A 14,589-nucleotide genomic window follows, 5' to 3' on the forward strand; every position below is an offset into this window, starting at 1 on the left:
AAAAAAAAAAAAAAAGTAAGGAAATGCTGACACATGTTACAACATGATGGACCCTGAAGGCATTATACCAAGTGAAATAAGCCAGTCACAAAAAGGCAGATACTGGATGATTCTATTTATATGAGGTATCTAGAGTAGTCAAATTCATAGAAATAGAAAGTTGATTGGTGGTTGCCAGGGGCTGGAGGGAAGGGGAAGTGGGCAGTTGTTTAATGAATATAGAGTTTCAGTTTTGCAAGATGAAAATCTGGAGATTGGCTGTACAACAGGATGAATGAATGTATGTAACACTACTGATCTGCACACTTCAAAATGAGTACAATGGTAAATTTTATGTGTATTTTATCACAAGGAAAAAAATCACTAGACATCTAACTTTTCAGTAATGTGTCTATTTTCAGTTAAATTTGCCAGTTAACTGAAGCCAATATAGGCCAGTTTTCATATTCCTTAGTGTTATCACACTGGTGCACTTACTGTTTTACCATTTTCCCTTCTGATTTCATTTTTCTGTTAGCATTTACTACTATCTAACATATATTTTACTCATTTGTCTGTGTTCCCCATCAGAATATAACTTCATGAGGGGAGGGATTTTCTATTACACTTAGTGAAAAGTAAATCCCTCAAGTAGGAACACTACAAGTAAGCACAGTTTTTTTTTTACAGTAAGTTTGCTTAATGGCTAGTAAACTATCTCAGCCAGTACCTGAGTGACTATTCTGACTTGTATCATTTAACAAGAAAAAAGGCCTGGCGCGCTGTCTCACGCCTGTATTCCTAGCACTTTGGGAGGCCGAGACGGGTGGATCACTTGAGGTCAGGAGTTCCAGACCAGCCTGGCCAACATGGTGAAACCTCGTCTCTACTAAAAGTACAACAATTAGCTGGGCGTGGTGGCACATACCTATAGTCCTAGTTACTTGGGAGGCTGAGGCAGGAGAATCGCTTGAACCTGGGAGGTGGAGGTTGCAATGAGCCGAGACTGCGCCAGTGCACTACAGTCTGGGTGACAGAGTAAGACTCCGTCTCAAAATAAATAAATAAAATAAAATAAAATGAAAAAAAGTACTAAATGCAAACTTCTTAAGATCACATGCAACTTCGATGTTAAATACTAAATATTCCTTAAATTTAGACAGTATTCAATTTGGTAAAGATCAGAAAGTTATATTTTGTCATTTATGATATCAAGTGGAATGTATTATCAGTGATTATGATGCTTCTCGCAATGAGAGTTATAACTTTCTGGAAAAATCCTTGCTCAAATCATCAAAGTTAAGATTTCTTACTACATAAAGGCTATGAAGAGCTGACGTGTAATTATATTGGCTCTGCAAATATTGGAACAGAAATATGAGTTTGCCATTAGTGTAAGAAAAGCTTCAGAATATGTATGCAAATTTGGCAAATTGAGTTGGTTTTCCCCACGGTACTTCGAATAAAAGAGACATTTTAACAAATCACAGGTTCATAGAAAATCTCTAGTTTCGTGGTCTATTTTCTAAAATAATAGGAAATGAACTTTTAATAAAAGTACATGAGGACTTTTGATGAACGGTTTATTTTTCACAGAAGTGAAGTGCAGGTGAAAAGGGGAAATTCCTAGAATATCTGAAGGATCTGACTAAATGAATTTCTACCTAAGCTATTGATTTACAGTAACTTAAAATGTGATAATTTATCTCCTACAATGGCCTTTCAAATTAAATATAAAAGTAACTCAGAGTAAAGTATGCAGAAAAAATTTTGGTATTGTAACTGAAAATGACCAACATTAATTTTTTTCTCTCACATTAATCAAGCACCTTACTGTTAGAAGGGAAACTGACAAGCCTCCTCAACCGAGTTTATACAAAATTCAACCCCAGAAAGTAAAGCCAATTCGTGCACCTTCATAAGAAAGAAATAAAGGACGAACCTACACATTACAATTTGTAAAGAAACTTCTGTAGAGGCACCATCGTTCTACAACCTTATGCACTTTAAAATCTGAGGTAACAAGGCATTTGAAGATAACCAAGGTTGGCCGGGCGCGGTGGCTCACACCTGTAATCCCCCCAGCACTTTGGGAGGCTGAGGTGGGCGGATCACGAGGTCAGGAGTTTGAGACCAGCCTGGCCAACATAGTGAAACCCAGTCTCTACTGAAAATACAAAAATGAGCGGGCACGGATGGCGCACGCCTGTAGTCCCAGTTACTCGGCAGGGGTTGGGGGCTGGTGGGGGTGGTAGTGCTGAGGCAGGAGAATCGCTTGAATCCGGGAGGCTGAGGTTGTGGTGAGTAGAGGTCGCGCCGTTGCACTCCAGCCTGGGCGACGGAGCGAGACTCCGTCTCAAAAAAAAAAAAAAAAAAGATAACCAAGGTTTATTGCTACTTCCGTGATATCACCATATCACCAACTGCGTAAGCAGTGCTATTTAGTTGAAAATACATGGACTAGACCGAATATTTCTGCAACAGTTTAATAAGAGACGATGATGCGACTACTGCAGCTGTCCCCAGGCAATTAAACTCTTCGGCGAATTTCTTTACTATTGCTTTTGAACAGGGAACTGTTTGCTATTTTAGGGCACTCGTGCGGTAAAGAACTTCACTGAAAAATGCAAATATGTTTTGCTAATGTGGGAGAAAGATGATGATCCTCTGAACCTGTGACTTGGAAGGGGGGATAAAAAAGAACTATTTCTTGAATTCTTGCCTTGCTCTTGCTGATTCGATGCACACAACCCCACGAACATTCAGATTCATGGCTTGACAAAGTGGGGATAACCGGGAGCTGCAGCCCCGTCTTTGAAGCTTTTGTAAAGACAAACGGTCTGCAATGTTAAGCCTTAAATTGGCTTTTGGCGGACTCCAGCCTTTTACCCTTCGTTTGGTAGATGTTTTCACCTCGCTGTCATTAAGCAGGGTCAGGAAATGGAAGGGCCGTGACCGGGTCGCCGCGGGCGCTCTGTGGGCGATGAGGGTCTCCTGAGCGAGCAAGACCAGTCTCTCCCCGACTCGCCACGCGCCACGCGCCGCGCGCCGCGCGCCGGTTCCTCGGCTTCCCACGCCGGGGGCGCATCCTCCCGGGAGCTGCTGCCCTTTTCCAACATGGCGCCGCGGGAGGCGGGTCCCGCTCGTCGGCTCCCGGGGTTCCGGCGCCGCGCGTTTTGGTTCCGGAGTAACAGTGTCGCCGCCGCCTTCCTCCTCCTCCTCTCGCCGCTACCGCCGTCGCCGCCGCCGCAGCCGCCGCCAGTCCGCGCGGCCTCGGGTGGCCGGAGCTCAGCCTGCGCGCGCCGCGCCCTGTGTCTCCGGGTGGGGCAGAAGACTCGCCCCTTGAACCTCCCGCGGGGACTCTCCGTGGTGTGGCGGCCCTGGGGCTCTTTCTTAATAGCCCCGGACTGAGTCCCCTCCAGTCGAGGACCCTCTCCTAGTCCACTGACGAGCGGTGGACACCTGCCGCTGTATCTCCCCCAAACCGAGTCCTTGCCCTGCTGCCTCCTCATACCCACACGGCGGCAGAGACCTTCACCATAGCGTTCGCTCAACTCCAGAACCTTCCGACCTCCGCTAGTTCCTGCGGGCCTTTGCCCGCTTCCCGGTGCACCCTCCCCGGGAGACACCTCAGACCCCCGACAGCCTGGGCAGGCTCGGTGCCTGCGGGTGCGTTCCTGATCACCCCTCCCCTCTTCCCTCCCCCTCATCCTCCATTCCCTTGTTTTCACCCTCTGTCCTCTGCCCGTCACTCCCCTTGTCACCTCTTGGAGCCCCCTCCTAACCAGCGGCCAGTGGGTTTCCCATACCCCAGGATGTGAGCCTCTTTAACCTGTAATGCTGTGGCTAGCCCTTGGCCCCTTTCCTGCCATGGAGAACCAGGTGCTGGTAATTCGCATCAAGATCCCAAATAGTGGCGCGGTGGACTGGACAGTGCACTCCGGGCCGCAGTTACTCTTCAGGGATGTGCTGGTGAGTGGTAATCTCAGTGTCCGGATGCCAGCAAGGGGGACTCAGGGACTTGAGTAGTCAGCACCTTGACCACTGGTGACCTGAGCCAGTGGCAATGGCTACTGCTGGCTTCCTGTGGAGGCAGTTTTATTGCTTCAGGCACAGCATTGATAAATTGCAACCACTAAAACCTGGCAAATGTCTAGGACCCTGGGGAGATAGATCAATCTGACTGAACCCCTGCCCTCAGAGAGCTCATGGCCCGGGCTGGGACACACATATAGACACAACCACGCAAATGCAAACTGCTGAATCTAGAAGAGAGGTTTTTTCCCCCCAAGTGTTTCGGGGAATGTCCTTGGACAGATTCCAGCCTTGTTTTTCTACTGAGTTCTCTGAACTTGGTGACCAGCTGAGAAAGGGAAAAAGGACAACTTTAACTTACCATGTTTGAGCACACTGTTTCATTAATTTATTTTGAGACAGGGCCTCACTCTGTCGCTCAGGCTGCAGTGCTGTGGCACGATCTCGGCTCACTGCAGCCTCTGCCTCCTGGGCTCAAGCGATTCTCCTACCTCAGCCTCCCAAGTAGCTGGCACATGCCATCACACCTGGATAATTTTTGTATCTTGTAGAGACGAGGTATTGCCATGTTGCCCAGGCTGGTCTTGAACTCCTGCGATTTGCTTGCCTCGGCCTTCCCAAAGTGCTGAGATTACAGGTGTGAGTTACTGTGCCCAGCCTGAGCAAACTTAAAGCATCATTGAATGTAAGACATTTTACTTAGAAAAAAATGCTAACCATGACAGTATGACACATCATCCGTTATTAAAATGAGTCCAGTTTCAGAGACGGTAAAAGTAAGGGAAAATGTGCATCTTAGAATTGGTGATATTTTACATTCAGATTTTTCAGAATATATTTCAAATAAAATGATGGAATTTTAGAGCAGAGTGTAACACTGTAGGTGGCCTGTTCAGCTGATGTTTCTTTTTTGCAGATAGTTACTGAGGAGCAGTGAGGTGAAATGGCTTTTCCAAAGCTGTGAGCTCCTGAGTGGGAGAGTCAGTACCAGAACTAAAATTTTGTTTCATTGACTTAGTAGGTTTCTTTCCCTACATGTTGCAGCCGCTTCTAATCTTTCTGGTATTCATTTGAGATAGACAGGGTGCCTTGTGCCCATTCTACATGCAGAATAACTGAGGCATGGAAGACAGAAGCGGACATTCCGAAAAGCACATCACTACCTGCAAGTTAAGAGTGGGCAAGGTGGCAGGATCTTGGGAAGAGGAAGATTTGTGATGTGATTTTTCATTGTCTTGGGTAACTTAATCAAAATTTGATTTCTATAACTTCATTTTGAGTTCTAGATGTTACTGACTGCCCAGGCCATGCAGATTTTTGGGTGCCTTGACCAGGAGCTTTCCATATTGTGCATCAAATGCCATCCTTCTCTTTGTATCCGGAGTTCTCCACACAGTCATGCACATACAGATTTCCCCTCATGATAAGGCCCAGGCTCCTTCATGTGGTCCTCTGGGCACATCTGGATTGGCCCCTGTCTGCCTGGCACCTGTGTCATCTCTCTTCACGGCCCCATAAACTTCTGTGCCTCACTTACATAGGTTGATTTTCATTTCTCCCAGGTGTCCAGGCTGTCTGCACTCTGCTCTTCACCGGTCAATTCCCACCTGTCCTTCCAAGCCAAGTTGTGCTTTTTCTCTGTGTCATTCTTGGTTATGTGCCCCACCTCTGTGTCGTCACAGCTTTGTGTGGGTCCCCCAGCAAAGCACATGTTTGATCATGATTCTTTGTCTCCTCCACTAGATGGTAAACTTCTGGAGGAGATAGATATGTTTGTTTTTGTTTCTTCATAGGACCCCAAAATACTTGTTTAAGAAGGGAGCTTAAAAGAGGATGCATGCAATTATGGTTCTGTGGACAGAACACTAGGTTTAGAGTCAAGGAATTTGGGTTTAATTGCAAGCTGTCCCACTGACTAGGCAAGTCAGTCTACCTCTCTGAGCCTTAGTTTCCTTATTTGTAAAACAGGGAAACTTGTACCTTCCTCAAAGACTTGGAAAGATTATGTGAGATTGTGACTGTGATGAGAAAGATGGGTTTTCTCTTACTCATTTAAAACAATGGAAGGTTGATTATTATGTGATTATATTATTTGGTTATGTGATTATTTCAAGAATAGCCCAGTGTTTAAGACCACAAACTCTGGAGCCAGGTTGTTTAACTTGCAAGTTGTACTACTGGGGCAAGTATCTTCTGTATCTCAGTTTCTTTATTTGTGAAAAAAAAGTTGGGGAGGGGTGAAAGTAATGCCTACCTCCTAGAGTTCTGAGGACTCCTTGAGTTGATACATGTAAAGCACTCAGAACAACTTAGCACATAGTAAGCGCTCCATTAGTGTTGTTATTATTGATGGGATTGTTATTATAAGGGATTGGACTTGGGTCTTCTGTTTCTTGAGCATCTCTAAGTTGTACCTGGCTCAAGGCTGACTGGCTTAACAGGAAACACGAGTGGCCCCACCACTAGAGCTCAGCATGCCAGGTGTCTGCACACTTTTGGCTAGGTAAGCCCAGGTGGAGCATGTTTTGTCAGAAAGGCCTGACGAAGGACCTGTGGCAGTGGGTGTTCAGTGCTATCTCCTAGTGCTCCATTTTAGCAAATGTTCAAGCCCAGATCATGGCAGACTCCTGTGATCTGTTCTCCAGGTTTACTTCATCTCTTCATCAAGAAAAGGCAAGAACCAAGAGACACGTCAGCATCTCTGGCTTGGAACCTTAAACTTTAAAGTCACGTGGAACCTGGAAGAATCCCCTCATCTAATTCAGACTCATTTCGAATGAAGAGGCATGAACCCCACAGGGGGAAAATACCTTGCTAAAGCCACCCAGCTAATTTTTGGCAGAACCTGACACAGATGCCAGAAGCAGGTTGTAGTCACCGAGTCAGCCATAACTGAGTGTCTCGGACCTGAAGTCAGCAGTTGAGGGCTCCAGTCACTGTGCATCAAATAGCTGGGAGACCCTGGGCAAGTCAGTCGGTCTCTCTGGGCCTTGTCTTTTGTCTGAATCATCAGGGACTGGCTGAACTATGGAGGCTGACCTGACCCTCAAAGGTAGAGACATTTGGGTCTTCTGTTTTGCAGCTTTCTGTGTTTCTCTTTTTCCCTGGAGACTGAGTTCCTAGTTTTGGGAAAACTATACAAGAGGTCTGGTTAGTGTGTGATGAGAGAGAATGCCCAACCCTCTCCCCTCTTCTTTTTGTATTCTGTGGTCTCCAAGCTCAGATTTCCCCTCATCTATAAGACTTCTGGGCCAGGAGTGGTGGCTTAGGCCTGTAATGCCAACACTTTGGGAGGCCGAGGTGGGTAGATCGCTTAAACTCAGGAGTTCGAGACCAGCCTGGGCAACATGGCAAAACCCCATCTCTACAAAAAATGCAAAAATTAGTGGGGGCTTGGTGACACTCACCTGTGGTCCCAGCTATTAGGGAGGCTGAGGTGGGAGAATCTCTTGAACCTAGAGGTCGAGGCTATAGGGAGCTGTGATTGCACCACTGCACTCTAGCTTGGGTCACAGAGCGAGACCCTATCTCAAAAAAGAAGAAAACACACACACACACACACACACACACACACAGATTTCTGTCTAAACTGAGTCTGTGATTTTTTCCTTTCTCCTGAGTTACCAAATACTATTGGCTGTTTATGTCTTTTGTTTGGTGCTTATACTCTTAAGTGTTTTATATTACTAGTCTTTCAGGTTTGTCTTTATCTCTGTAACCAGTTTATAATCTTCCTAAAGTCAAGGATCAAGTTTTATTGTCCTGTAGCCTACAGCTTTGTGATCTTTATGCTCGTGGCATGTTGTAGATGCTCAATGATGTTTTGGATCTGTCAGATATTTGTCTGATTTATTGAAAGGAAGAAGAAAAGTATCAAAAAATGGTCATCATCAAAATATGTAAACTTCGGTTTTCTTTTTTCTTTTTTTTTTTTTTTTTTGAGACAGAGTCTCGCTTTGTTGCCCAGGCTGGAATGCAGTGGCGTGATCTCGGCTCACTGCAACCTCTGCCTCCCAGGTTCAGGTGATTCTCCTGCTTTAGCCTCCTGAGCAGCTGGGATTACAGATACACACCACACATCCAGCTAATTTTGTTGTATTTTTAGTAGAGACAGGGTTTCACCATGTTGGCCAGGCTGGTCTTGAACTCCTGACCTCAAGTGATCCACCCACTTCGGCCCCCCAAAGTGCTGGGATTATAGGTGTGAGCCACTGCGCCCATCCCGGTTTTCTTTTGAAACCTTCTTTAGGTTAGTTAGGTACATGTTATATTGTCAAGAGCAGAAGAAGGCCGCTTGGAAATAAGTCACTTTAGCTGGAAAATGTATATAAAATCATCAAATGTACCCTGCTTTAAAATGACTAGTAGATATTACTGATGTTTAAACTTCTTACCTCTTTGTCATTATGATTGCCCCACTTTATTTGCTTTAAAGAACAAAATGGTTGGTTGTGTTCACATGATTCTCTCACTCAAGTTTGCTTTGTTCTTTCTCCCTTTTCCTCGTATCAGGTGAGGAGCATGTGCAGTGCCTTGTTTATGTCGATGGGCTAAGGCATGCCATTGCCACTGAGCAGGTTTTCAGTTGGTTGTTAGAACTCTGCACTTTGATGGGGTCTGCTATTCCTAAGTAGGAAGGAGCCTAAATTAATTTGCTAACACTATAGAGGTACAGTTCACATCTCAAGATCGGAGTTTCCTGGAAATAACTGGTGATAACCTAGACTTAGAGAGTTGGGGATGAAGCAGTTGTTTTCCCCTCGTTTTTTTAAACCTACACTGGCTAGAATGAGTGTTCAATAAGTACTGCTGAAGGATGAAGTCAGTGAGTGAATCACCATCCTCCACTGATTGTAGGGTGCTGGAATTTCAAAGTTTATTACGAAGTAAGCTTTGTAATATTCCAGTTATTGGTGTTTTGTTTTATTTATTTGACACTAATATGGCACTTGCCATGTGCTAGACACTCTTCTGAGTACTTTACAAATACTAACTCATTTGTTAGGTACAGCTAAGATCTGATATTACACATGAGGAAAGTGAGGCACAGAGAGATTTTGTGCACTCAGCTGTGCCAGAGAGCTAGCATCCAGCTGTAGCTGTTTGGCTGCAATTTCATGTTTTCAGGCTTTCCACTGGATTGCCTGTGTGCTTTATTCTGTACTCCCTTTACAGTTTCCTGTCAATAAATACTTTCTAACTATGAGAGTGTAGAAATAATTTTTTAACACTAAAATCTTTTATAGATGCTTCCTCAAAAAGTTGATGTTTCATTTGTGAGGACTAGACTCAGAAAAAAAAATCTCTTTTGGCTGTAATGAGCAAGGACTGCCTAAGATAGTCCTCTTTGATCAGTTTTATATGCACAGATTTATTTTTGAAAAAAAAAAAAAGCACTATAGAGGCAAGACTATTATGCAAATTGCCACTGCAGCAAAAGCTTCTAAAGAATTGCCTTTAGAAGGAAGTTGCAGCCACTCTGCTAAGTGCCCTGCTTGGAAAGGCTGTGGGCTCCCTGCTGAGAAATACTGCGAGCGGCTTTGTCAGCCGGCTGCCTGGTGCCAGTTCTGCTGCAGCCTGGGAGGGACACTGTGGCAGAGCTCCTGGAGAGAAATGAGGTTTGCAGGCCATTGGAGTTGGACTGGACATGATGGAGGGTCACTTTCCCCAGAGCGTAGGTGTTCTATGCTTATTCAATTAAGCTGTCTCAGTATACTAATTTTCATGTGTTTTCAACTTTATAGATTTATTTAAGCATTGATGTCAGATTATATACCCTTTTTAGATTTTTGTTGTAGGCTAGATTAACTTTATTTCGGTGTCATTAAGTATGTTTTCTGTTGCTTAAGAGTAAAGGTTGATAAGAACTGTTTGTGTTAAATGTGGCATAATGGGTTTATATCGTCATGGAAACTTGGGTGTCGAACTCCTACCATGATGAGTGCGAGGCACAGTGTTGCTTGTTGTATATCAGGAACTACATTTGTTGAATGTCTTCAATGTGCTAGGTCTAAGTTTATGTTTATTAGATTAATTTTTAAGCTACATCTATAAGTATTACCAGACCCATTTTGGAGGGTAATCAAATTGAAGCTCAGAGAGGTTAGGTGATTTTTTTCCCAGAGATTCAGACCTACGTCAGTCTGACTCTCAAAACCCCTCTCTCTTTCAACTGTAGTATATTCCACAGCCTCCCATAGAAGAAACCAAGTTTTTGTAAATACATGACGGTTTATTTGTATATAGACTGTTGAACTGAGAATAAAATATGTTATTAATAAAATGTGGAAAAGTTTCCTTAAATATTTTTCTTCCTGGAATAGAGCTTTAAACTCTGGGTTTACGTTGCTGGGCTAAGTGTGATTATGAGCTAATGTTTTTATAGTTTATGCTAACGTTTCAAAAATCTTTCCCAGGTTCTCATATTTCCTGTAGGATTTGCCACATGTTAGCAATAAAGAAGATGGCTAATTGTGTTTCTTTATTCTTTCTTTGTTTAGGATGTGATAGGCCAGGTTCTGCCTGAAGCAACAACTACAGCATTTGAATGTAAGTCTGGCTTGTATACTTTCTTGACTATTCCTTTCTGCAGTCATTTTTTAAAGGGTTTATGGGTGGCATTACTTTAGAAACTGACAAAAACAGATTATTTATGACCATCATATGGTACATTTAAATATTTATAAATTGATATAAGTTTAATGATGATACTGAACTGAGTAATATTTTCTTATTTAATCATATCTTGGGTGAGCATATTTCTACAATATAGCTTTAATTACCAGCATGACCTTTATCTGCTCTTGCTCCTGATTGTGATAATATTGCAGGACAAAATGAAACGTGTAAACTACCTGTAGGCCAGTGATTATTGATTAAGAGATTTTAATCCATTGCTGCTTTAAAACATAGCAACAAAGTAGAGCTTTTACCATGAGCATTACATGGAATAATTCTGTTTTAGTGGGGCTTAGCAGGGATGCTAGATGGTGACAGGAACACTTCAGGTCTTTAGTCCTTCCTTTTTCCCCACAGTTGGCCTGGGGACAGGGCCAGGGTGACCTGGGGACTAGAAAACTGTTTTGTCATGAACCAGGTCATTGCAGAGGACATCATGGAATGAGTCATGCTACGATGAGATAGTCAGTAGCATAAGGGCCCGGATGCTGAGAGGGATGAAGTAAGAACTGTAGTTTTTTTTTTTTAAGATGAGGGCTACTTTTTTCTTTTCTTTTTCTTTTTTCTTTTTTTTTTTTGCCGCAGACTCTCACTGTGTTGCCCAGGCTGGAGGGCAGTGGTGCGATCTTAGCTCACTGCAACCTCTGCCTCCTGGGTTCAAGCAGTTCTCATGCCTCAGCCTCCTGAGTAGTTGAGATTACAGGTGTGCACCACCATGCCCAAGTAATCTTTGTATTTTTAGTAGAGACAGGGTTTTGCCATGTTGGCCAGGCTGGTCTTGAACTCCTGACCTCAAGTGATCCACCCACCTCAGCCTCCCAAAGTGCTGGGATTATAAGTGTGAGCCACTGCACCTGGCCAGAGGGTCACTTCTTAATGTAGAAAAATTTCAGTTTTTCCACAATAGGATACTTTTTTGTTTCTGTTTTTTATGAAGATGGTTACTTACAGAGAATACAATGAGTACTTCCTTTTTGGAGGATAATTAGGCATTTCTTATCAACATATAAAATGTGCAAAACCTTTGACTTAGCAGATCCACTGTCAGGAAGCAGTTCAACAGAAATAGCTACACATTTGTTGAATGCCCATCAAACAAAGTGTTCATTGTGAGATCATGATGATAATTATTGTTATTTTTAGAGACAGGATCTTGCCTTGGTGCCTAGACTGGAATGCTGTGGCATGATAGCTCACTGTAACCTTGAACTCCTGGGCTTACACAATCCTCCCACCTCAGCCTCCCAAGTAACTGGGACTACACGCATGCACCACTATGCTTGGCTAATTTTTAAATTTTATGTGGAGATGGGGTCTTGCTATGTTGTCCAGGCTAGTCTTGAACTCCTTGCCTCAAGTGAGCCTCCTGCCTTGACCTCCCTAAGTGTTGGGATTATAGATGTCAGCCACTGTGCCTGGCCCACTGTGGGATTATTTATTTATTTTGGAGATAGGGTCTCACTCTTTTGCCCAAGCTGGAGTGCAGTAGTGAGATCACAGCTTGCTGTAGCCTTGACCTCCTGGCTCAGGCTTGTGGGATTATTTTCAATAGCAAAAAATTAGAGGTAAACTAAATGCCTATTATAATGGATTAATAAATTACTATTTGTCTATAATTCAAAGCATTCAACAGTGACTAAAAAGAATGAGTTAGGATTTTTTACATTTGTACGGAAAGATATCTGTGAAATATTGTTGAATAAACAAATAATGCATATAGTATGATCCCATTTTGTAAAATATCCAACCACGCTTCCCCAACTTTATGTGTGTATTGAAAGATAGGATCTGAAGAGTGCCTACTACAGTACTTTCCAGTGACTTACCCTGTAAAGTGGACTTGGGGCCTGAGGCTTGGGTTGGTGGGGGCGGGAGGGGGTGGATGAATGATCACACTTTTTACTTTGTATGTTTCTCTATTGTTTGAACATTTTTCAACAATCATTGCCTGTTTTTAAAAGCTATAATGAGTAGAACTCAATGTAATTAGTATTTTATTAGTCACATTGAACTCTGTACTATAGAAAAATAGTACATCTGTCTGAAATACATACTAGTGTTGCAAGCTTTATTCAGACTCTTTGCAGTAACTCCTTGCAGGTTCCACGGGTTTCATGGACAGTCTGATAGTTAACATTCGGAGTACTTACTGTTGACAGATGCTTTGCTAAGAGCATTCCATGGGTTATCTTATTTCTTTTAACCATCACAAGATCCCCACGAAGTACTCGTTATTTTTTTGAGACAGAGTATTGCTCTGTTGCCCAGGCTGGAGTGCAGTGACATGATGATAGCTCACTGCAGCCTTAAACTCCTGGGCTCAAGTGATCTTCCTGCCTCAGCCTCCCGAGTAGCTGGGACTACAGGCACCCACCTCCACACCTAGCTAATTAAAAAAATTTTTTTGTAGAAACGGGGTCTTGCTGTGTTGCTCAGGCTGGTCTTGAACTCCTGGCCTCAAGTGATAGTCCCATCTTGGCCTTTCAAAGTGCTGGGATTACAGGTGTGAGCCACTGTACCCACGAAGTACTTAAAAGGACATTATTAGCTCTGTTTTTTGGTTGAGGAAAGGAAATCTTTAAGCAACTTGCTGAAAGTCTCTCAGCTGTTAAGTGGTAAAGTGGAATTTCTGGAGTAGTTTCCAGAGTGTATATTCTCAACCACTGTACTGGACTTGTTTTGAGAGTTGTCATAATTATTGAAATCATATATTCTGGTTGTTCTTAAGCATGGTAAAAAGAAGTTTACTTTGTACTTTTTACTTGCTTTTCGGATCCCCAAAGTGGCTTGATGTGCCTGTGCCTGCCTCATTGGCTTCCAGTTAGGGTTCATAATAATAATAATACTGATTATTTTAACTATCATTCATTGATAGCTTGCTCTGTGCCAGGCAGTGTACTAGATGACTTGCCTAAGTTGTTAGTAATCTTTATACTGAGTCTGTGAAATAGGAAAATTATACCTGTGAGGAAACGAAGCTTAGAGGCCTGAAATGATTGCTGAATGTGATTGCTTGGAACGGTGAAGCCCAGGTTCAAACACACATCTTTTTGACTATAAAACTTGCACTCTTTATCCCCAAGTGTGTCAAAAGCCTGTTAAGTGTAAATATAGATAAACCTCTACTACTCCAGGTTTACGTTCTGTGATATCATGCTCTTTCTTTTGCCCCATCAATGGCAGCAGCTCTGTGCCCATCTTCATGTGGGCCAGTTTTAAATGAAAAACAATAAATACAAAACATACCCACAGACAAAATAATGACAGTTCTTAGTTGTTTTGTGTTTGGATTATCATGTACTTTCCACTATAGACTTGAAATCCTAGGCTGGCTTTTTTCATGATTATTTTGTGGTGACTTTTTTTTCTGAACCAGAAATCCGAACCAATAAATGGAATCTATGTTTAAGAAATAGTTGAGGCCGGGCGTGGTGGCTCACGCCTGTAATCCCAGCACTTTGGGAGGCCGAGGCAGGTGGATCATGAGGTCAGGAGATCGAGACCATCCTGGCTAACAAGGTGAAACCCCGTCTCTACTAAAAATACAAAAAATTAGCCGGGCGCGGTGGCGGGCGCCTGTAGTCCCAGCTACTCGGGAGGCTGAGGCAGGAGAATGGCGTGAACCCGGGAAGCGGAGCTTGCAGTGAGCCGAGATTGCGCCACTGCAGTCCGCAGTCCGGCCTGGGCGACAGAGCGAGACTCCATCTCAAAAAAAAAAAAAAAAAAAAAAAGAAATAGTTGAGAAGATATAGCTTATAAGGAATTTTGGAAATATTTCAGTGGCTTATGGGTATAATGGAACAACCCTTGAATAAATACAACTTTAATAAAAGAAATACTTATAGTAATACATTTTTGGTTTTTTTGAAATGGTCTGGCTCTGTCACCCAGGCTGGA

General features: G+C 43.2%; 1 protein-coding gene and 1 long non-coding RNA gene across 9 annotated transcripts in view, besides 5 other annotated features; one reads left to right on the plus strand and one right to left on the minus strand.

Moving 5' to 3' along the window:
- Nucleotides 1-90: an enhancer, noted in NCBI's record as "active region_9631". NCBI's record gives its function as "activates an Ori minimal core promoter by ATAC-STARR-seq in GM12878 lymphoblastoid cells {active_cell/tissue: GM12878}" and the evidence as "EXISTENCE:reporter gene assay evidence [ECO:0000049][PMID:35858748]".
- Nucleotides 1,549-3,111, minus strand: MAP2K5-DT (MAP2K5 divergent transcript). Its single transcript, NR_186334.1, has one exon. It is a non-coding gene; the product is annotated as an MAP2K5 divergent transcript (long non-coding RNA).
- Nucleotides 2,124-2,624: an enhancer, noted in NCBI's record as "H3K4me1 hESC enhancer chr15:67833981-67834481 (GRCh37/hg19 assembly coordinates)". NCBI's record gives its function as "activates a minimal SCP1, AML or CMV promoter by ChIP-STARR-seq in naive H9 embryonic stem cells {active_cell/tissue: H9 hESC(naive)}" and the evidence as "EXISTENCE:reporter gene assay evidence [ECO:0000049][PMID:30033119]".
- Nucleotides 2,277-2,326: an enhancer, noted in NCBI's record as "active region_9632". NCBI's record gives its function as "activates an Ori minimal core promoter by ATAC-STARR-seq in GM12878 lymphoblastoid cells {active_cell/tissue: GM12878}" and the evidence as "EXISTENCE:reporter gene assay evidence [ECO:0000049][PMID:35858748]".
- The window catches only part of MAP2K5 (mitogen-activated protein kinase kinase 5), a 264,412-nt gene continuing 253,006 nt past the window's right edge, over nt 3,184-14,589 (plus strand). For 6 of the 8 annotated variants that reach the window (XR_007064474.1, NM_145160.3, NM_002757.4 and 3 more), the window contains exons 1-2: nt 3,184-3,951; nt 10,515-10,563. Coding sequence is in view for 7 of the 8 variants with exons in the window: in NM_145160.3 (NP_660143.1) it covers nt 3,817-3,951; nt 10,515-10,563 (184 nt within the window). In the remaining variant the exon portion in view is untranslated. Of the gene's footprint in view, nt 3,952-9,574; nt 9,689-10,514; nt 10,564-14,589 lie in introns of those variants that run through there. The other 2 variants (NM_001206804.2, XM_047432856.1) reach the window with 1 other exon arrangement.
- Nucleotides 3,200-3,319: a silencer, noted in NCBI's record as "silent region_6579". NCBI's record gives its function as "represses an Ori minimal core promoter by ATAC-STARR-seq in GM12878 lymphoblastoid cells {active_cell/tissue: GM12878}" and the evidence as "EXISTENCE:reporter gene assay evidence [ECO:0000049][PMID:35858748]".
- Nucleotides 8,288-8,789: an enhancer, noted in NCBI's record as "NANOG hESC enhancer chr15:67840145-67840646 (GRCh37/hg19 assembly coordinates)". NCBI's record gives its function as "activates a minimal SCP1, AML or CMV promoter by ChIP-STARR-seq in naive H9 embryonic stem cells {active_cell/tissue: H9 hESC(naive)}" and the evidence as "EXISTENCE:reporter gene assay evidence [ECO:0000049][PMID:30033119]".

The sequence above is a fragment of the Homo sapiens genome, chromosome 15, assembly GCF_000001405.40.
Source record: "Homo sapiens chromosome 15, GRCh38.p14 Primary Assembly".
Lineage (NCBI taxonomy): Eukaryota > Metazoa > Chordata > Mammalia > Primates > Hominidae > Homo > Homo sapiens.